We start from the raw sequence: 23,255 nt of genomic DNA, 5'->3' as shown, positions 1-23,255 counted from the left end.
TAGTTATTTTGCCCTCAGTAAATATTTTCATCCCAAAAAGTCCCCAAGTACTTCTCTGCTTTCTCCTTTGCAAACCTGCTTTCCTTAATTTTAACAACAAATCTTTTCCTTATTTGTTAATGGACTGCACTTTAATTGAATGATTCAAAATAGTTTAATGATATAACTGTTTATTAGATTGAGTATGAAATTAGGAATATTTGATAATTTTTGTTCTGCAAAATTGGTGAATCCATATGTTTTATCCTAATGCAAATGTGGAGACAATACGCTGGAATCTAGTAACAGTAGGGACTATTATCACCCCAGGCCTGAATGGACAAGTGGAGGGAAAGGTATATGAACCCGAAGACAGAGAGGTGGTGTGGTAAAGGAGGCCCTGCGGAAACTGAAGACTTCTGTCTTAGGACACGGCCAGCCTATGGCAACCCCACAAAAGGAAGTGGAGAAATAAATATCCCTTGTTCACTCACTCTCATATTCCAGTCTCTACTGATGGTCCCCATAGCTGAGCTCAACCAGAAACCAGAGGGCAAGGCAGCCCTGCTGGAGATGTACAGATTTATTTCTGTGGGCCCAGGGCAGTGGGAGCAGGATGGAAAGTGCATCTGGAAGCACAAATAGAAGCTATCTAGCTCACAGTGAAGGGCCAAGGGATATTTTCATTTTTGTTTCTCTGCTTAACTGTGTTATGCAAACATCTGTAGATAGCCTCATCTTTCAAAACTGGCTTTTGACAATTCTGCCAACCCAATAACTAAAATGCGTGAAATCTGCCCAGAGCATGCATCCTGTGTGACAGTGGCGTGGCGTGGGAAAGCAGCTTAATTTGGCTTCTAATGGCTCCAGAGTGTTAATAATTTTTGTGGTATGAATATATGCAGAGAGACATTATAATCTATCTTTTAAAACCATGGCATCTGTTATCAGAGACAAAGTCCAGTCTTACCTGCAGAATAATGGGACCAAGTGTGTTTATCTTGATGAATTTTCCTTTTTAATGTCAATTGATTTAAAGAAAATTTATCTCTAATTTAATCTTTGCAATATCCGAGCAATGGATGGAATTATCCCCATTTTTAAAGCTGGGGAAACCGAGGCTCGGTGAGAGTAAGTGTCCTCCGTAGCATGAGTACTTAGAGATGGGATTCAAATCCAGACCTATCTCACACAGCAGCCAACCTCTCTTCTTTACCACTTGGTGCTGTTGATTGTCTTTATTTATTGTCCTAGAAAGATGTGTTCTTAAAGAAATGGGCTCAGCCATTCCGAAGTGATCGCCGCCTATAACCAGACATGCCCACTACAGTTAATTAGGGAAGCTGAACCCCACTGAGGTGAAAACAGAGGTAGAAGCAATTAACTAAGAATCTCTCTGCAGAAAACAGTCACATTTTGGCTCTCCATTTCCCATTAAGAGTAGAAACCGTAGGAAAGTTACTCTCTGTACGGAGCAGGCCAAGAAATGAGGCTTCCGTTTTTGAATAATCAACTACATTGATCTGGGAGCATGCTCAGTCACATTACGAAGTATCATAATTCTTGAATAGACTCTTTCTCTTCTTTTTTTGGGAGTCTCACACCCATATCTCCCTGTCTCCCATCTGTAAATGTAAAAGGGACTTCTTATCCACTGTGAGATCTTGTTCAACCTATCTTCCTGAAATAGTCAAAATTCAGGTTTTTTTCTGAGTTTGCTACTAAATTATAGAAACCATGTAGCTTTATGCATCTAATGAGAATAACAAAAACTGCTCTGCTCACTTCCCAGCGGTTGTCCTGGAGCCCAAAGAAGCATAAAGCTTTTCAAAACTCCCAAGGGCCTAATATTACAAGTGATTGCTCACAAGGTTGCTGTCAACTCTCACCTTATGACTAACTCCCTAGGTCTCTGTACTTGACTTTTCCAACAAATCTGTTACTCTATTAATTGCTCTTGGCAGTCTCATTATTGTCATTGCTAGATGTTTCCACTTTCGTAGGCTTTTTAGGGGTAGACATGCCCAGGGACTCTGCCAGACACAGCACATAGGCTGTCCCCCAGCCACCACTAAGTCAAAACACATATGCCCTGCAGCTCCTGTATCACCTAGTAACCTTTAATAAACCCCATAAGCAGGTGTCTAGGGACCTGGCTCTGCCACTAGGCACCTGATTTCCTAGGAGAATATGAGTGTGAGATTTAGGGAGCCAGAGAAATTAACAGGAAACTTTCTTCTGTGTATAGAGGAGTGAGATTGATTCACCCAAACACACTAGGCATTCTTAAAGTATGTTTGAAAGAAAGGAAAGAAGCTTATCTTTATGACATGACTAGCACCTGGTTCTTCCAATGTATTTTTAACCTAACAGACTTGCTGGTTTTAGCTATATGAGAGCAAACTTCCTAAGGAAAAACAATAAAACATTTTAAAGATAGAATTTTATCCCATCAATCAAGTACTTATTGACCACCAAAAATGTAACTTTTAGCCCTCAGGCTGAAATGAATTTATACTATTTTGGAAACATATCTGTGACATCCCCTTCATGATCCCTCACAATGAGCCAAGTCTCACATGGAAATAGCTTTGTGAGTCTTGCAACCACACATATGGGGTTTGGTCACATTTTTACCTCTTTCAAACTGTTTTTTTTTTTCTACAGAAAACAAAGAGGCAAAAAACTTGGATATTTTTCTCTATATGCCTAAAAGGGCCCATTTCCCTCTGAAGTTAGACAAAATGAAAACAAGCCACCAATAACAAGCCACTTACAATGATCAATGGGGCAATATCATATGTGAGAACACACTGTGCCTCTTGCATATTTTCAAATGTCTGTTTCTTCCATAAGAGAAAATTTGGAAACACATGTCCCTCCTCAAATACATATAAACAGCATAGACTAAAACAAAATAACTACAATGACAAAACTTAATTCATGTCTGTAGATTGTGAAGCATACACTTCACCCAGAGGAAATAAACTAGGCTATTTGTTTTTAAGCACTTTCTCTATTTTAACACAGTCGTTTTCCAATGAGAGTTTTGTTAGATCTCTTATCTAATCCTCCATATACAAGCAACATAGGGTTGCTCTCTCTAGGCATGGGAAAATCAGTTTAAGAAAGGGAAGGAAATAATTCTCAAGAAGACATGTTTTATACATTATTCATCCTTGAAACTGCTTATGTGCCACCACCAACAGGAACACACATGGTGAAATTTGTATTGTATTTCACCTTGAAAATCCATATTCTGTCATAGAAGTCCAATTTCTTGAGTATCTTTTCTCATCCAAAAGATTATTAAAGTAGATTACAGTTGAAACTGTAAATTCAGTTATCATGAAAGCAGTTTTCCCCATTGTAATACATTTCATTATGAAGGGGATAAACAAGAACTAGGAAAGATTTTATTGCTATTTTCAAGACCCATCTTTTCTAGGATAGAATTCTTCACTTCTAAGGATACAGGCAAAATAGTATCCAAAGGCTGAGAATCATGTCATCAACATTACTAAGTCACATGAAGAATCATATATTTAAAATTACTTGAAATAAATTATTTTAAATACTGAATTTTTCTTGAAAAACTGACACTCCAGAATACATTAGATTAAGGTCCTCCCTAGCCAAGAAAAGTAGAGACAAGGGGAAAAAAGAAGAAGAAGAAGAAGAAGAGACAAAGAAAAGCAGCCAAAAAAAAATTTGGGGAAAGAGAAGTTATTGAACATTGTCAACCTACAAATATTTATTGAAATTGCAACTAATATGAGAACGACAACCACAGTTATAAATAAAGAAAAGCGTATCTATCAGCATGTCATCTGTCAGTAATTCGGGCATATGTTTTCTTCAAAAAAAACCCACAATACATAATTTTTAAAGACAGTTTATTCTTAAGCAAACTAAAGACAGACAGAGGGGTGGGTTTTGTGTGTTTGTTGTTGTTGTTTGTTTGTTTTCATTTTGGACCAATTCAGGGTCACTGAATCAGCAATGATTTTCCTCACCAATGCCCATGGGGATATATTAAAAAGTTATTTTTTGAAGAGGAAGTTTGCCTTATCCCAAATGTTGTCACACTATTTCTATAAGGTTTTTCTTTGGTTATTATTTTGTTGAGGGTAAGGAAAACACACACACACACACACACACACACACACACACACACACAAAATGCCCTGTCCTCACTGTCAGTGGAGAATCCCTGTGGATTTGTGGTCCTTTTCCCATTAAAGTAGTTTCTTCCCTGGGTAGTTTTTGGAAAGTTATATTATCTCCTGAATGGCCAAGGGTGAGAATCTTATTCCTTCCATGTTCTTTTTTTAAAAAAAGTTAAACTCAAAATAACTCATGGCATAAAGAGGGGCTGAATACATCCTCAGTTTATTGAGTGATGTGAAAATTGCCCATTGTTATTTGTGTCATTTGAGCATTTCATTTCCATAATATCTGAAATGTTATTTTTTTTTTTTGTTCTATCTGCTCATTCGATGAGCTTCATGTAGAAAGTCAGGAGGCAGAATTAAAAGCATTGTTCTTGCTGCATCTAAAGGAAGCTAGCAGGATACTTGTCATTTTTTAGAAATAAATTTCTCTCTAATTTTTTTTATCTGGTTCTGAAAGGCACAATGCAGAGAGATTAGTTTTTACTGGAAACCTGAGCACTTTGCACCTCAGAAACTGAAACAATCGAGTCCTATTTTCTATAGCCTCTTATATAAGTAAAGTCAAATGAGTTCCAAGTTCTGGAAAGCAACATGAATGTCTTCTAACCTTTATTTTTTCAGAACGATTGAGCCACCAGGCTGTGTAGGAGCTTCTTCTTAGGTAGTCACAGGAAGATTAGCTTAGAATGGATGCTCAGAGCCAAGACACTAGAGAAGACAAAACCCAGGGTGGAAACTGGACTCCTGCCCAGCCCAAGGGAGGCTGGTGCAAGGGACAGTATGTAAATGTGACAGAGGTAACCGAGATAGCAGAGTTTTTGAGATGAGAGGTCAATGGTAAATAAAACCAGATTGAAATGATCTATTTCAGTAGCTTATGGAAAAAACTAGATTGGGAACGAAAGTGTATGATGCATTTGAAGGACAATGCAGAGACAGTAATGCCAAGATGTGGTAATGGAATGAAGTATCCTACCCTGGTCATCTATGCTACTTCAGTTTACTTATATGTCAAAACCAATAAATGGTCTTTTAACCAAGGTCACATGGTGCAGAAAAGTATAGAGGATTTCTTTATTCCTTTTTAAAGTTATTATTTATAATTGGATGCTTTCTCATACGGATTTGAAGGAGAATCTCTTCCTAAAGTGGATATAAACATATACCCAATCTCCAGTTTCTTTCATTTGGCCGATCTTGGTGGTACCTCTACACATGAAATCAGTGACTTACAAATGGTATCTTGTGACATGTTTTACACAGAAAGTCTTCATCTCAAAATTTGCAGTTAGCTTCCCCTGCTTTGAGAAGGCTGTCATGAACTTAGTGCAGAATTTGTTATATATTTGTTTTTATTGTCAAAGAGCTTCCAATTGAGATGGTAGAGGTTTGCACACTCCGTTAGGGTATGTTGGATCATTGCTGGAACGTTGTGAAGTGACACTCGATTTGATATTTGTTGTGCTTAGCTGGATTACTCCAGATTACATCATTGTTCTTGCTGAACTTCAGGATCTAAGTCCTCGCTCTTCTACTTAACAGATGAATCTTTAATATTGAGTAAGTTACTTAACCTAACTGTGCCTTGCTTTCCTAATGTATAAAATGGAGATCATAATAGTACCTTTCTCATAAAGCTGTCTGTGAAAAATAAGCTAATATGCCTAAAGTCCACAAAACGTCATCTGACACACAACTCTCAAAAATCAGCTGTCATTATTTGTATTATCGTTGTTAGCTTTATCATTAGGGCTTTATCACCTGTCAATTACTAACTGTGGCACCTTGTTCATTTCTGTGTGATACAGCACAGGAGGTGTGAAACTCAGGGCACTTGTAAAACACTGCTTAAATCTAAAAGGGACTAAGCATAAAAGTAGAATACACATATGTAGAGGCTTGTAAATAACAAATAACCTGAAGGGCTGTGGTCTGAAAATATACAGCTAAATAAGTGGTGGCTTGAGCATCCCTAATGAAGAGTGATATAAGACTCTCACTATACCATATAGAGAAAAAACCCTAAGAGTACTAAGTGGTTAACTTTTATTCCCCTATCACATTTCTTTGTTGTTGTTGTTGTTGTTTTGTTTTTTAATCAGAATTGTGTAGAGCCTACACTTCTGTTTGCCCTGGTATTGTCTTCTTAATACTTCCAAAGTGCTTCCTTTGCCAATTTCAGGATCATCTCCTGCTGTATTTATCTCAGATGAGACTTTTTTCTCCAGTGTTTGTTTTTAATTCTTTTCCTAAACACACCAAATCACAACCACACAGTTCCATAAACTCAAACTCATTTTCTCTGAGGCTTTATCAGGAATCATCTCAAGATTGCATAACAGACTCACTTTTAATTGAAAATGTTGCATCCTTAAATTCCTCTGGAGAAAGATTGCAGTATTTTCCTACAAAGCTGCTTACTGCTAGACTTTCTGATGAAGTTTCTACTTCATTCAGCTGGCTTTAAAGACTGTACAGGTTGACAGTTTTCCAGGTGAGCCGAGGGTCTTTTTGTCCCTTAGTTTATCAACTGAACTGGTATTTTGACAAAAAGGCCTGTAATTCCTCCTTATGAGGTTTTAAAATATATGTGAATCAAAGTCAGGATGTTTCTCATTGGGTTGTGAGTTTACTGCAACAGGAGTTTACAACAACAGGAGTTGCAGTAAATTCACTGCAACAAGTACTGAGGAGACTCTCTCTGAACCCTAAATTCTTCCAAGATGTGGTCTGCATCAGCATCACCTGGGCTTCGGTTAGAGATGCAGAATCTCATGTAGGCTTTTACATGGGCATCTTGCGTGGAGTTGAGGTTTGGGGTACAGGTCCTGTCACTCAGGTAGTGAGCATAGTACCCAATAACTGGTTTTTCAACACATACCTTCCTCTCTCCCTCTTGCCTCTAGTAGTCCCCAGTCCCTGTTGTTTCCATGTTTATGTCCTTGTGTGATCAATGTTTAACTCTCACTTGTAACAGAGAACATGTGATACATGTTTTCCTGTTCTTGCATTCATAAATTTAAGATAATGGCCTCCAGATGCATTTATGTTGCTGCAAAGGATATGATCTCATTCTTTCTTATGTCTGCATGGTATTCCATGGTGTATATGTATCTTCTGTATCTGTAATAAAAGGAGAAATTTAAAAAACTAAAAAATAAAATTAAAAGATTATTATGCTTAAATAAATAAATAAGAAATGCAGAATCTCAAGCCCCACACCACAACTTCTGAATCAGAGTCTCAAATTATTTCTCATGGACAAAGGCTGACTGGTGAAAAACGAAACTTGTGTGATGACCCCATGAAGTGGGACCCTTTCCATCATTTTTTTGTTTGTGTGTTTGTTTGTTTTCTCTGTAATTGCTCTTTTTCTGAGGAAATACAGTTTGGGATGGAGGGGTGGAAAGAAGGGACTCTGAGTATATTTGATTCAGACAAAACTTATTTTCTTTTAATTGAAATGATAAGGGGAGCAGAAAAGGACATGCTTTTAAATGAACCCCATGTAAAGATGGCCATTGCAGAAAAAGTATTCAATTGCATACATAAATAGGACTTCAGTGGCGAGCATCCTTCTTAGTGTCACATGTAATTGAATTTGGCTGATAAATAAGCCTTGCATCTCTTCTTTATGAGAAAAAGTGCTTATGGATTTTACATGTAATAGGTTCAAGGGTTTTGAAAAGTTCTGGATGATTTGCATGCAGTGTAAATAATTTAAAAATGTGAACTATTGTTACGAGGTGAAAGCAAGTATACTATCAAAATTTAACTACGATGTTTACAGGCAACTATATTTTTAAATATTTTATTTGAGGATTATCTCAAGACCAGAAAGGCATTAACATAAACTACAAATCATGAAGGCAGGAAGTGTCTCAAAAAAAAAAAAGTATTACAACTAAATAGATAAATTGGGGGAAAAAGATTACTCCTGAAATGTAGATGGACTGTTATTGAGCTACATATCCTGTAATATCTGAATCATATAAGACCACTTTTTGAAGAAAATTGTTTTATTTAAATTTTCCCATATGATTATCCTACTACCATAATTTTCATGTGATGTTACAGGGTATATATTACAGTGGTTCATTATCTGAAATTGATTAAAAATAAAATGGTGATGGCTGAGTAGCTCCTGTCTGGCAAAAACCTCTCACAGATAACAACTACAAACCCTGAACAAAATATAAAAAGAAATTATCTGAAGACCCTGGAGAGAGACCAAGACAGGGAGATGCTAGAAAGAAGATGAGACTTTAAAATGGAGATAGTTGTGAGTAGAGTTCCCTTGGTTTTATCCCTTTCCAGGACAAGTAAAACTCTGATAGAAAACTCTCAATTTTACTGACTTGAATAATATAAGACAGAATTTAGGGCAGCTACAGCTCCCCAAAAGTGAAGGAAATAAATCTCAAAAAGAAAAGAGTCAGAGAAGAGGGGCCTCAGATTCTGTGTATATACTTGTGTGTAGTCTTTCACTGACCACATAACCATGTGAATGTGGAGTCCATGAGCACATCATACTTGTTTAATATGTATTATTTAGTGTATGAATGAAAAGATGATCTAACAGCCATACCCTTCATAGAGCATTCCAACAAGCTAGAATACCTCATATCAAATGTATTTACTTTAAGAGGTCTGACAGAGAAAACAGAACATCTCAAGGTAGGATTAGGGCACCTTTACTAATCTTTAAAGGAGGTTTTTCCATTGTCCCTTGTTTGACATTTGGAAGTTGTTTAACACTTGAGTAATGAACCACAGTAAACTTTGTTCCAGATGAAAAGTGTTCTTTTATGTTGTAAAGTGAAAGGATAGATGGAAAAGGATAGCTTAAAGAATGCTACAAAATGGTGCAAATGGCCATGGAATATTCACATGCCCCTTGGGCAGCCTTTGCCTATACCCAAAGGCACATACGCATGCCCAGTCTGAAGACCATAGCGCAAAGGGAAACACCTGTTTGACCAAGACTGCAGGGGATAAATGACAGGGTATAGCAGACCTTAGGGACTGCCATCCTCTAAAGAACTCACACTGGAAACCTAGAAAAACTTGACAAAAATTTAAGATGCCCCCACAGGAATTCATCCAGCATTGTAAGTTTTCTATTGATGTCAGCAGCCTGACCGCTGCAGATATGTACTGATCTTTGTAGACATTTGTAAGAATTGTAGTGCTGTTAGGTAAAAAGTTCCCTGGAATTTATTTGTCAGATCATAGATAAGCAGCTCTTGTTTGGATACTTGATAAAATAATATTGAATTAGGAGTTAAAATGTTTTCAATCGAACAACGTTATAAACACTACCCAAAGCCTTATTCATTTTGATTTAATAAGCAACTACTGCTCACTTTCTATATAAATATTATTGGGTTTAAGTCCTGAGGGTGGAGATGGAAGAGGCAGCAGAGACATAAAGGTGATGAATCAGGTAGAAACATATTTAACAGCAATTACACATTCACTCAATATGTAGTCTAGATATACATTAAATAAAACTTAATAAAAAAATTAACCTGGCCAATTTAACCAACATAGACCACAAATCTTTATCATTCAGTCTCTCTTAAAATGTCTTTTCCTTCAGGTAAAATATTTAGAAATTGACTTATTGATTCTTCTTCACCTGTTCAAGTAAACATCACTTCACACTCTTCCCTCTGTGCTAAAGCAAACTGATAAGAAAACATTTTTAGAAGCTTCAGGGAAATGTAAATAACTATCTTTAATCATTAGAGATCATGCTGAACATATAGAAAAGTTTATTTCTGTTTTGAAACAAAACTTGGCAGAAATAAAATTGGCAGCTTTGATTCAGTGCAAAGTATTGTGGAGTTGGTACTATTTAGACCATTTCGAAATAATTTTTAAATATTTTATTTATTAATATGTTTGTATAGTGGGTAATGTGGTTTTAGTTGTTTGCTGTAAGTTTCCAAACATATTTATTTGGCCCTCTAGTAACTAAAGAAACAGAGAAGATACTCTTCAGGCTCTTCATTTTGCCTCAGTTTTGTCCATGCGAATTTGAAAAGTAAATCAACAGTCAGCCACCTCTTTTACTGTAAAGTAGCCTGTATTGCAGCCCGCCAAAAATAGAAAAGTTGGAATAAAGTAGAATGTGTTTGACTTTGGCAGAATCTGCTAATCTGTTCCTTATAAATTTTCACACAAACTGGGTAGATTATTTAATATTAATAACATAAGCCCCACTAGTCTGATCCATTTTTTCTCCTCTGACTTAACTGAGAAGAGAATTTTTAACTGTCTTAAAATAGGCTACAAAAATTACTTTTTTTAGAAATCATTGTACATAGTGGCACTTATTTGTTTATGTATCTGTCTCCCCACCGGAAGGTAACTTCTTTGATTGCAAGCATTGAACTTTATTTTTGCAGCCCTAGCCCAGGATTGGACACAAAAATGCAAGCACAGTTACTGCATCAAACTTAGCCACTGTTTTGAAAAACCAAAAGAGCTTATCTAAAGTATGCATTTTAATCAAATCCTGGCAGAATATAGGAAACATATGGCTGTTATTTTTAATTCTCCTTTGCCAAATTTGTTTTACAGCAAAACAAAACTAAAACATCTCACAAAATTTTCCTTAATGTGTTATTGTACCTAACCATATGAAATCAACACAGAAGCTGAATCTAATACCCCAGTTTTACCAATGAGAGGGAGAAATTGCAGTAGTTTTTTGTGTGTGTGTGTGAAAGCTAAGAGTTTTTGTGCACACGAAATGTATCATGAGAATTAAGTATACCCTGAAAATGAAATATGCACAGGCTTGGCCTTGCCAAAGTTTTCAGAGCGCTTACTTTTGGCAACACTTCCCTGGGTCTTCTCTTTGTGAACCTGTGAAGATGGTGAGTTTCTTAGGAGTAGGGACTCTGTTTGACAACTTTGGATCTTCTAGCCTACTGCCTGCAATACAGTACAAGCTCAATAAATATTTGATAAACCACATTCCAAATCTGCATTCTCTGTGATCCCCCAGCCCCTCAATTTTCCTACTCTATGGTTTCAAAGAGTGATAGGACAAAATGTGTGTGTAGTCCCTTCCTGAGGTATTGGCATTTTAGTAAGGAAAACAGCTTTAAGCTAAAGAAATGAAACCGTATGGCATGTCAGGCATTCTGAAGATGATGGAAGGCATTCTGAATGGCAAGATAGTATTCCTTAGCTCCCTGTTATACATGGTAATAGGCCTGTAGTGCAAATGATGCCAAGAATAGTTCATGGTGGATTTTCAATTGCTTAAAAGTAGGACATAGGCCATGATCATTGCTTTTCGTTGTTTCCACAGATCAGCTCTGGTCTCCTTTCTATTTCTCATACTTAAGGTCTTCCTCTATTTCTCATACTTAAGGTCTTCCTCTACCCCCACCACAACAGAAAAACACCTCAAAACATTGATTACCTATTATAAGGTTGGTCTTGTTTCTCAAAAACAAAAATTCCAAAGCAGTTTACATTTGGAGGCACTCTTTGCTATCGATGGTTCTTGAACATATTGCCACACAAGATTTCCTATGTTATGTAGATTAGAGGAATTTTCTTAAGTGTCCTTGAAAAATATAATAGGAAATAAATTCACTACTGAACATCTATCTTCTATGAAGTTTTGAGGTTGACTTGATGTATTAGACTAAGGAAAACCTGTGTTCTATAATTCTGATTCCATTTTTAATCAAATTATTATAAATGCCCTTTGGGGCATTTTGTGGAAAAGATAGATTAAATAGTGTACCCAATTAAAAAACTGAAGGATCCCTTCCGCTTGAAAGTTACATACTGCTCAACAAACTGTATGTTTTATTAAAACATGAACTGGTAGTAAGGGCACTGAATAGTGATATGACTCATTGAAGCCAAAGTGGATAATATGGCTTTCACTTACATATCATTCACAGTGGCAATTATCTCTTTTTATATTAATGAAGAAAATAAAATGGAGTATAACTCACAAATTTTATCTATTTTTGGCTTCAAGTATTTCTTGTTTTACTTGGAAGTGATGCATTTATATTATTTGAGTGCAGATTTTTGTCTTGCAATTTGGAAGATCATACTACTTAAACAAAATTACACTGGTGTGACTTATCTTTAGAAAGCTAGTGGAAAGTTGCTTAGCTTATTTGATCTGATCTGAGTGACTTCCTTAATACCCCATGCTGCTAATTAAGAAACCATCTCAGAATGAAGGTAAGGACTAACCCTAATCAAGAGGCCCCATCATTTTGTTTAATGCCTGGTTTACTCCACCCTTGACAGAAAGGTTATAATTAAGTCAGGGGCTATATGACAATATCTTATTCATGTTGATACTCCCAGAGCTAGCTTAGTTCCTGGCTCATAGCAGGTGTTCCATAAATGTTTGTTGAATGCAACTGAATTACCTTGAATATCTTGGGCACAGGATTCTTAATCAGGGGCCTAAATTAGAAATTCTGAAAAATAGTTTGAAAACAAAAAGAGAGATGAGGTGTGGTTCTGTATATTTCTTAAAAAATTATCAGGTGACACTGATAAACCACCTTAGTTATGAAACACCGATCTAAGTGCTAAACTATTTTTGTGAAAAATTCTAATAGTCAGCTTGATCACCTAGATATTTCTAATTATTTTCATGAGGTGTTTCTTTTAAAAATGAATAGACTGGTGATTTTTAAAATTTGTGTGAGCTTTTGAGGCCTTTAGCCTCCAAGCAATATCTTGCGTCAAACCCAAATATGGTCAATTCTCATTTTTATTCATGAATTCCACCTTTGCAAATTTGTCTTTTCCTATAAATTGTTTGTAACCCCCAAATCAATACTCCTAGCAGATTTGCTATCATTCACAGACATTCACAGAATGTCCAGAAATTGGAGCCACCTGATGTACAGCTCCCAGCTGAGGTTAAAGAAGGCAATGCTCTCTGTGCCTTCTTGTTTCAGTTCTCATACTACGAACAAATGTCCTTTTTGTGGTCTATTTAGTGCCACAATTTTTACATTTTTATGAATTTGTAAATTGGTTGGTGATTTTATTGTTTTAAATAGCCCCTCAAGCATAGTACTGAAGTGCTGTATGATGTTCCTAAGTACAAGAAAGCTGTGATGTGGCTTACAGAGAATATGTGTGTGTTGGAGTTTTCTTCAGGTAGAAGTAATAGTGCTATTGGTTGAGAGTTCAGTGTGAATGAAGCAGCAACATATGTTAAATAAGTTGTCTTTAAACAAAACACATAAAACAAAGTTAGCTATTGATTGCTGGGTGAAAATATTTGTGACCAGAGGCTTACAGGAACCTAACCATGTGTTTTCCCTAGAAGCAATGGCTCAGTATTTGCTATTTCAGTTTTTGAAGCAACTTTATAGACCATAACTACTGAAAATAACAATAATTAACTGTATATAAAACTGGAAGCCAAAATTGCTCTGGGTGACAAAGGCATAAGACCATCATCTTTGTTCTCTTCCCATCTCCTTCTCCCCAAGTGACAGCCTCCAAAACATATGCTTAATTTCTGGATCCAGAAAGAATAGGGCTTTTAAATAAGAATAGCCTTCCAAATGAATCCAGAGTAACAACTGAATTTCACATTTTATTTATATACTTGGGTGTTATGTAAATATAGCAAGTACTTGCTTAGAAAATACAAAACTAACATTATATTAAATAATCCCAGTTAGGAAGGTAATCAGATGGCGGGGAGGGAAGCCAGTGCTTTTCTGAGCCAAATATAAATTACTTTTAGATTACCTGGTGTTTTTAATTATCTGCACCACTGTACCACTTTGGTCAGAATCAGAGGTTGATTCTACCTCTGACAATGCCATATCTGCCTTCTCCTGGGCCCAGAGGGCTTTTCCCTATGTTCAATAAACCTTGAAAGAAAAGGAAACACAGTAGAATATCTGTTGGCTCAGCACAACAGGTTTTGAGTAAACGAATTACTACTCTTATGCATTAAATAAAATATATGGTTCGGAAAAGGTTGCTACAGTACTGAAAGTCACTTCATGGCTATCTTGCTTTTTAAGGAAAAGGCCTAAAATGCAGTCAAATTCAAAATAAAGTAAGAAGCAGCATAATGTAAAACAGAGTATTTGGTAAAATAATAGTAATGCAAATAACCACTCCCTAATACCTAAGATTTTGAATGCTAAATTCCGTTGTCATTATTGTTGTTGTTAAGACATAAGCACAGCTAAGTACCCTCAGTCACGCATCCTCAACTGGGGACATTTTGCTCCCCAGGGAAGACTGGGCAACATCTGGAGACATTTTTGATTGTCAAGAGTGTGTGGGAGATGCCACTAACATCTAGTGGATAGAAATTAGTTATACTGCTAAACTCCCAACAACATACAAGGCAGCCCCCGCAACAACAACAAAAATCTACTCCAAAATGCTAATGTACCAAGATGAAAAATCCTATTCCAGGAGTGACTAGTAAATAAAAGTATTCCATTATGCAGTACAAGCAATGGTTATTTCTATACAGACAACAATATTAATCTGACTCTTCCAAGGGTGTGGCTCCTACGTCTGCATTGAGTTCTCAGCAAGGATGTCATCCTAATCTCTGTGCCCAGAGAGCGCTTGATCCCAATATACAAACCAAGGCTCCCATATGAAAACAAAAGCATAAACAGCAGCTAGGCTCAGCGTATCTCCTGGGTTTATATATGAAATTTATCACCTGACTCTCTCCTCTTTACTGCTAAAGGAACATCATCAACAAATCAGTGAATTTCAGAAGCAGCATTAAAAATATCTGCGTTATTTGCTTCACTGGCCATAGAAAAGGGGCCATAAAAGTCATGCATCAAATCCTTAGATGGTGCCTAAGATTATGAGTCTGACAAATTGCAGGAAAATGAACCCATCTGTGTAAGTCCGCAGAATGCAACAAGGAAGAACATTTTGTGGACTAGTTTTCCACTGGCTTATTTGGCTATTTACATGTAATAGCAGTGATCTGTGCATTCACTCTGATTTGTGGGTATAGCAGGTGGCACATGTTTACAGATGCTTGGGAAACTGCCTTGCAAGCTGAATGCAGATACTTTGGCTTGTTTTCACATTTGCTCTGTGCTCCCTGGCAGATCTTTACCTGTGTCTTTCTCTGAGTATCTTCCTTTCTTTCTGACAGGTGAGCTGCAAGATTTTGCATTTTTTCCACCAGTACATGATGGCCTGCAACTATTTCTGGATGCTCTGTGAAGGGATCTATCTTCATACACTCATTGTCGTGGCTGTGTTTACTGAGAAGCAACGCTTGCGGTGGTATTATCTCTTGGGCTGGGGTATGTATTTTCTGCAGCTAAGTTTTGAGTCACTTTCACCTCTGTCTGTATGCTTTCAGTCTTCTTCTAGTCTTGGTCTCAGAGAATAGAGTCAAGTCCCAGGTCCTTCAAGGAATGATGGAACACAGGTACTGGCAGGAGTTCAGTCTCCAAAAGACCTGTGGAAGCCCTTTAACAATCTCAACTGTGCTGAACATGAGGGTCTGCACAGAGAAGGAAGATAAGGGTGACTTCCAAAGGGTAACTTCAGGAAACAAACCTAGCTAATGATGGACACAAAATGTGTCCTGATTGAGAGAAGATCTGATTAGGCCTCCTTCTGCTTTATTCATCACATGTTTGTAGAGCAAAGGAGAATTTCACATTTTGAATTATGTACCTCCCCTACCCTGGCTTCATTTTCCTTCATCAAGAACATTTCTTCCTGTCAATCCATCATCAGGATTCCTCCAGTGAAAGCTCAGGAAGTGGAGTCCAGCTGAGAGGCAGATATAACCACACGGGCTTCCAAGTAGAGCCTGTGTGACATCATAGCACATGGCATTGGCTCGGGAAAGCTTAGGGCTGGATTGTTTAAGCTGTGGCTGCTTCCGTACAAACTAAGGCAGGGTGCTGAAGTCCTTCAGGGATGCTCTAGAATTGCTCCCTTTCCCCCAGGGCTGCTGAAAGTCCAGCTCCCCCTGGTGGAAGGGAACTGAACAGAAGGTGAGGCAATGAAAGAAAATAAATGCTGCGATAAAAACACATGCTGCCTTATCAAAAAAAAAGTTTCAGCCTTACCTTGAAACTTCCATACCAGAGGAGGAACTCGTGGGCCATCCCTCACTGACTATAGAGCCAAGGGCTTCTCTCACCACATCCACCCCACATGATGGGTGACTGTGACTCTGAGAGCAGAGGCTGTGGATGGCCTTCAACTAAGCTTGCCCTTTAATGCAGCAGGCTGGGGAGCCCCTACAAGTACTGGTAAGAGAGGAGAGGTGTAGTGAGGAGGGAGGACAATCCAAGGGATTTTTTAAAAACATCACCTTTTGTATTTAAAGCCCTGCCCAACAGGCATTGTCGCCAACTTTATAGAAATGTGCTTGGGAAGTCATATAAGCAGCCTAGAGTCTTTCCTGCAGTCTGTAAACTGCAGAAAGGGGCTGGTGTTATGCCATACTGGTTTCCATAACACCCTTACATAACAGGGGTACATGGTTTTAACCAAATGCATTGCCCAAGCCCAATGGGATAATCCGATAATGGTGGGTCAATGGGGCAGATAGGCGGGATGCCTCAAAATTGAATTGATGATGCTACAATTATTTGGTTGCAAGCAACAGAGTAAGATGTTCTAACTTAAGCAAATACAGAGAAGTTGTCAGAATCTAGCGTATCTCATGGAATCTAAGGGCAGAAATATAGCCAGGCAACTAAAAGGGCTGTAGCCTGGGAGCAGATAAGCCAGGAGCTCTCTCCCTCTGCCTTTTGTCTTTGTTTTTCCTTGCATATCTGTTTTTACCCTTCTCTTTCTTTACAGGCCATAGACCATAGGGTCTCTGCTCCCTCCAGTTTTCATAGTAAATACATCCTGCCCCAAAGTTTCCTGAGTACACATGTTTCTGTTCCAGGCACTCACAGAAACTAAATGCCCATCTTTAAGTTCCAATTCTGAATAGCAGGACAAGAAAATCTGATTGATCCAACTGAAGGCAGGTAGCCTACCCTGGTTCAATAAACTGTGGCCAAGAAAATTGAGGGGGATGTTGTCACATAGTGTGAACATGTCTAGTGATTGTGAACCCTCCAGCAAAGGACTGAGAAAGGGGTCTTTGTGAACTGTACAGGCTGTCTAGGATATTCACCAGATCACCTCATCTGCATGGCTGCTCCCTTATAAGGAGAGCAGCGCTGCACCCTGTTTCCTTAACCATCCAGTGAGGTTAGAAATCAGGCTATCACTATCCTGCTGGTTCCACATCAGGTAACAGGTTCTCCTGCTCTTTCCTGTCCTAAAACAGGTCAAAATTTACTCAAAATGGTCTTTTACTATTTTTTTTTTTCTCTTTTAGCCCCAGCCTTCCACAGAGACTAATCTTTCCTTTCCCTGGCCTTCTCATCCGTATGTACACCCTCTCAACAATTTCTAGATTTCCAAATCTGGTCATGCTAAGAATAGACTGGATACAATTTAATCACTGCAATGGCAATTCTGATCATCACAATCATAATAATTGGTGTTGATCAAATGCCTTCCAGTCAAAGACCTGAAAATAACATTCCACCCCAAACACACACACAAACACACACATACTTTCTGCCAGATTTATTTCCTTTGAAATAAAATCTGTGGTATATTTCTTTTACCAGTTTTGATTGTTCAAAACATCTATCTGCCATACTCAGAAAATTTTTCATGGGAAAAAAAGGCTGTAAATGTATTCTTGTCGGTGACATTCAGCAGAGACAAGGGCACCCTGGAAGGAACAATTTATACTGCTCTTGGAGTATACTGATGCATTGTGAATTAGTTATAAAACTTTTTGGCATCATCATAGACAGCTCAATGAAGATATCTGCTTAAAACACATAAACAATTCAAAGGAAAAAAGGAACAAGCTGCTCAGCTGTATCAAAAACAAAGGCAATAATAATAAGTAAATTGTTTATGTGATACCTTAAGCTTCTGTAATCAACAACAATTCGAATGATTCAAGTAGAATCCCAAAGAACATTACACTTAGTAACGTAAGCACAGAACGGGGAGTTGCTAATCAATGGTTATACAGATTAAGTAATGCAAGATGAGTAAATTTTAGGTATCTGCTGTACAACATTGTGCCTATAGGTAACAATTTTGTACTATGCACTTAAAAATCTGTTTAGAGGGCAGACCTGATGCTAATTGTTCTTGCCAGAATAATATAAAAATTTAAATTAAAAAAAGAACTAGAGGGATTTGCACTTCCGTAGATGGACTTTTGGAAAGATAGTCAACCAAATAGTTCTAAAATGTAATGTTTTTAGCATGCCAAAGCTAAGACTATCTTTCTACATGCACACACACACACACACAGACACACACACACCAAAATTCCACCAAACTCATTACCACTGAAAAATCACATTGCCAAATCTGAACTCTGAGAACAAAATTGACATATTTTAAAGCAGTGGCTCCTTTCTTAGAATTTTAAGCAAGCATTATCTTTGGATGGGAGGAAAATGGGTGAAATTAATACCAATTAATTTCTCAAGAAAAAAATAGTTTCACAGAAACTTTATAAAGTTTAATGGGGCAAGAGAATAAGTCTCTTCTGGATAATATTTTTATTGTCCTTTGAAAATTTTTTTCACATGAAGACAGTATGATAGGTTCTAAATTTTACAATGCCAGAAAAGAAGCAAAACCTACATACTTTTAAAAGATTCTTGAAAGTTAGACTGCAGAAAATATGGCCCAAAAAAGCCCAGTTGTATTATAGCACCTAATTTGTTTGCAGGTGATGTAAAGCCCATTCATTTAATTCAGCTGTGAATAATGTTTCCAATTCTAGGATTTGAAATGAATCTCAAAGAATGATAAGAGATATTGTAAACATTAGCCACTGGGTGAACAAGTATCTGGTGGTGAAATTCTCCCCAACAGAAAATCAAAGAATGGTTCTTTCAGTAGTTATTCCCTTCCAAGTCTGCATGGCACCACTTAGTAGTCGATTTCTCTCCAATTGAAGTAACTTCAAATACTGAAGTTTAGTTCTCAGGAAGATCACTTATTTTGCAGCCCTCTCCAGACTGTTTCTTTGCCTTGCCTTGCTGGTTTTCCCCTTGTTAGAAATCAAAGGAAGGAAATTTCCCCCATGGACTTCTATATTGAACAAATAGAATTTATTAAATCCCTCTTAAAAAATGAATCCTACACAGACAGGATTATTCTGAATCTCATCATCTTTGGTGGGAAGAATGGGTTGTTATGGATCTTGGGACCTTGGGGAGAGAGAAAGAAAAAAGAAAAAAAAACAGAAAAAGCAAACTACCTAAAAGGAGGCATCATAGCTAGAAGAAGGCAAAGAGCCCTGGGCGTTAAAAGGTGTGGGGTCTATACTCGTCTCCAGATGAAGTAGAAAGCACTTTCCTTTCTACAAAATGATGAGGTGGGATTCAGTTTTCCATATACTTCTCTTTCTCTCTAATTCTAAAATATCCATCTCAAAATAAATCCAGAGACTTTGTTTCTCTTTCTGAGCCCAAGTGGGAAAATGGTATGTTAGAACTGCTGTGAATAACACAATCATGTTTTGTATAAGCAAACTCAAAATTATTTCAGGCCAAACATTAAATCTGTGGTCCTATTGAAAATATGCTTCCTGGGTTTAAAAGCTGAGGTTGTTCTTAGGTGAAAATTCAATATTTTGAGACCCCTTTTTGTATATAACTCACAGAAAATAAAAATGCATTGATTTAATTCTTTCCTAAGACACATTTCTTAATCTGATGACAATAACAAAACCTCTTTCTACAGATGTCTCAATCAAATCAAACAATATTCTACTGTTGTACATCTGAGTAAAAAGACTTATTTTTTCTTTTTTAATGAAAATTACAACTTTAGGTTATACTACAGAATAAAAATTGATTTAAAAAATTATAATCTGGAAGGACGTATTGCAATAACTGTGTCCATTTTTCTGTTTATAAATTAAAAAGTTTTTTTTTTTTTACTAGCACTTTGAGTTTAGTCAAGGAGGTACAGTAAGCTGCCTTCATAAAGTTTCTCTAGCCAGAACCTACAGAAGGTAGGGAATGTACTGGCTTCTCTGAAGTATTCATATTAAAAGGAAACAATCACTGCATGAGATATAAACAGACAGAAAAACAAAAGAGCCTAGAAGAAAGAATGTGAACATCAGCTAAGGCTTTAGGAGCAATCAGACTATTGCTTTCATACACCGTCCCAGGTCACATCCCTCCGGGGTGACCCAGCTCCTCTCCATAAGAGAGGCCAGTTCACCCACAATGAAAGGCTTTCTGGTCTCAGTTAATAGTCATCATTATAAACATAACAATGGTAATAATAGTCATAGTGTACCTGCTACATTCAGCAATTTGTAAAAGGCTTTTAATTATTTGGATGCTCTTAACCAAACTCTCAGGAAGCACATGATGTTCTAACTGGGAGCATTTTGACTGGCTTGACCAAAGATGATTTTTGTGAAAATATCAGGGGAACATCTTGACAGATGCACTCAATTTGCCAGTATTTTTGCAAGTACACTACCATTGTCCATGCAGCTGTACTTAAAGGTTATGACCAAGAAACCAAGTGTGATTTGTACTTTTCACATTTGTAGGGTTCCCGCTGGTGCCAACCACTATCCATGCTATTACCAGGGCCGTGTACTTCAATGACAAGTAAGTATTATGGTGATGTTTAAGTTAACATATTCATAAACAAAATGTATTTGTGTATTAATTGTCCCCTTGCCCTTTTTCAGCTGCTGGCTGAGTGTGGAAACCCATTTGCTTTACATAATCCATGGACCTGTCATGGCGGCACTTGTGGTGAGAATTAGTTTTTTATTGCAATATTAGTAGTATTATCTCTTAGTTGAGATTTCTGTGTATATAGTTCTATGTATCATATGTTTTATAACTTCAAAATGAAGCTAATTTGATGGTATTCTGTAGTAAAAAAAAGCAATTTGATTTTAGACTCTTCAAAAAAACGCCTTTTACTCACACATGGAGGGGTTATCATGAGCTCATTTTCATTACAGACTCACACTATAATAGCAATGTAGCTCATATTTTAAGATTTTTATAACTAGATTCTCCTAGGTAAAGGTGAGAGGCCAAGGGGCTGCAAGAAGTTTGTTTGTGTTATGAACATCTAGGGTCTTTGAAAACTTTGACATTCCAGAGCTCTAAAAGTCTTTGGTTCTGTGAACTTAAGGTCCAGAAATCCAAATATTCAACACAAGCTCAATTAGTGAGTTAGTAATAAATAGTGGACTCCCAGCCAAATGTCAGATGCTTACTGAGGATGCTACAGTTCTTACTTACCTAGGATTCAGTAGACTTGGCCTCATGTCTTAGCTCTATCATCTACCAGCTCTGAAAATTTAGATAAATCAATTAACCTAAAAATGTCCCCTGATTTTTTTAAGGGAAAAGTTAGATTAAATAATCTTTCAGGTACTTTTGGAAGATAATCTCTAACTCTAGGTCATTAAAACTTAGTACTGCTCCATATCTTTATCTGTTAAAAATAACAAAAATAATAATAGCTACTCATAAATTCACGATTATAAAATATCTCCTAATAAAATAATAAATAAAGTAAAATGAAGTAAAAACTTTAGCAATTATTCCTATATTTAAAATTCTAAAATACATATTTCTTGCCTTAATTATCTAGAAATTTTTAAGGAAATGCAGATTCTAGGATCCAAATTATAAATGTGTATCTGAGTTGAGTATATGCATACTTCACTGTGAATGACCATAAATTAACAGAAATTGATATATTTGGAATTCTTATTAATTTCATGACTAAAGGAAATGCACATTAGTGCATTTCAAAACTAAAAAAAAAGATTCAACAATTAACAAGGTGAATCATTTATACCTTAATAGTTGATTTTTCTCATTTTGAAAGAGCTGCCCGTGCAAATATGGGCACTTGATTTATGACAGCAGCACTTTTGGGCAGAGGAAGGAGATGGTCAATAAGATATACATACAGAAAAAATATCAAACATGTATTTAGCAACTGCATATGTGTGGGGAAAAAGTAAATTCTGATTCCTTCCACAACCAGACACCAAAAAATGTGTTTTTAGTGAACTGGAGGTTTAAATGTAAAAGACAAAACAATAGAGGCCCCCCAAAAAGACACATTATGTTGAGTATCTTCATGAGCTTCAGATACAGAAAGATTTCTAAAGCAGGATACAAAAGGCACTTAAGGAAGAGATTGATAAATCAGCTACATTAAAATGAAGACAACATTTAAAGACTGAAAAGACAAAACTTAGAGTCCAAGAAGGTATCTGCAATGTTCCAAATAAAGACTAATAAATTTATGAAAAAGTGTTCAGCTCATGTATCATCAGGAAAATGCAGATTAAAACAAGAATGAGGTAATACTACACCCCTCCACCACCCCCGCCATAGAAAGGCTCATATTAAAAAGAGTGTTCATACCAAGTGTTGGCAAGGGTGATGAGCAACTGGAACTGTTTTATATACTGCTGGAGGGAACATAAAATTAAACCACTTCTCTAGAGCCCTAGAAATGCTGAGCCAATTGTGCTACCTCTCAGGTAGACTCTCATGTTCTATGTAGGTAACATTTGTTGCTCACACTGGATAAACAAGAATTGAGAACAGTGCATATTCTTAAGTGATACTTTTCTGTATGATTTGCTCATAACACCGTATATTTGCAGGTCAATTTCTTCTTTTTGCTCAACATTGTCCGGGTGCTTGTGACCAAAATGAGGGAAACCCATGAGGCGGAATCCCACATGTACCTGAAGGCTGTGAAGGCCACCATGATCCTTGTGCCCCTGCTGGGAATCCAGTTTGTCGTCTTTCCCTGGAGACCTTCCAACAAGATGCTTGGGAAGATATATGATTACGTGATGCACTCTCTGATTCATTTCCAGGTAAGGAAGCCAAAGGTGTATTTATTCAACTACTGTGCTTATTCAGCTAGCTGATTTTAACTCTAAAGCCCATGATCTTTTATTATTATTTTACTTATTTGTTTATTTATTTATTTATTTATTTATTATTT

General features: G+C 36.9%; 1 protein-coding gene across 3 annotated transcripts in view; it reads left to right on the top strand.

Annotated features, from left to right (window-relative positions):
• The window catches only part of CALCR (calcitonin receptor), a 150,239-nt gene that overhangs the window by 115,649 nt on the left and 11,335 nt on the right, over positions 1 to 23,255 (top strand). For all 3 annotated transcript variants that reach the window (NM_001742.4, NM_001164737.3, NM_001164738.2), the window contains 4 exons: positions 15,319 to 15,472; positions 20,806 to 20,866; positions 20,950 to 21,016; positions 22,906 to 23,124. In NM_001742.4, coding sequence (NP_001733.1) covers positions 15,319 to 15,472; positions 20,806 to 20,866; positions 20,950 to 21,016; positions 22,906 to 23,124 — 501 coding nt within the window. The remainder of the gene's footprint in view (positions 1 to 15,318; positions 15,473 to 20,805; positions 20,867 to 20,949; positions 21,017 to 22,905; positions 23,125 to 23,255) is intronic.

This window comes from Homo sapiens, chromosome 7 (genome assembly GCF_000001405.40).
Source record: "Homo sapiens chromosome 7, GRCh38.p14 Primary Assembly".
NCBI lineage: Eukaryota > Metazoa > Chordata > Mammalia > Primates > Hominidae > Homo > Homo sapiens.
Note: the sequence above shows the minus strand (reverse complement) of the source record. Positions and strands in the feature narration are given on the sequence as shown.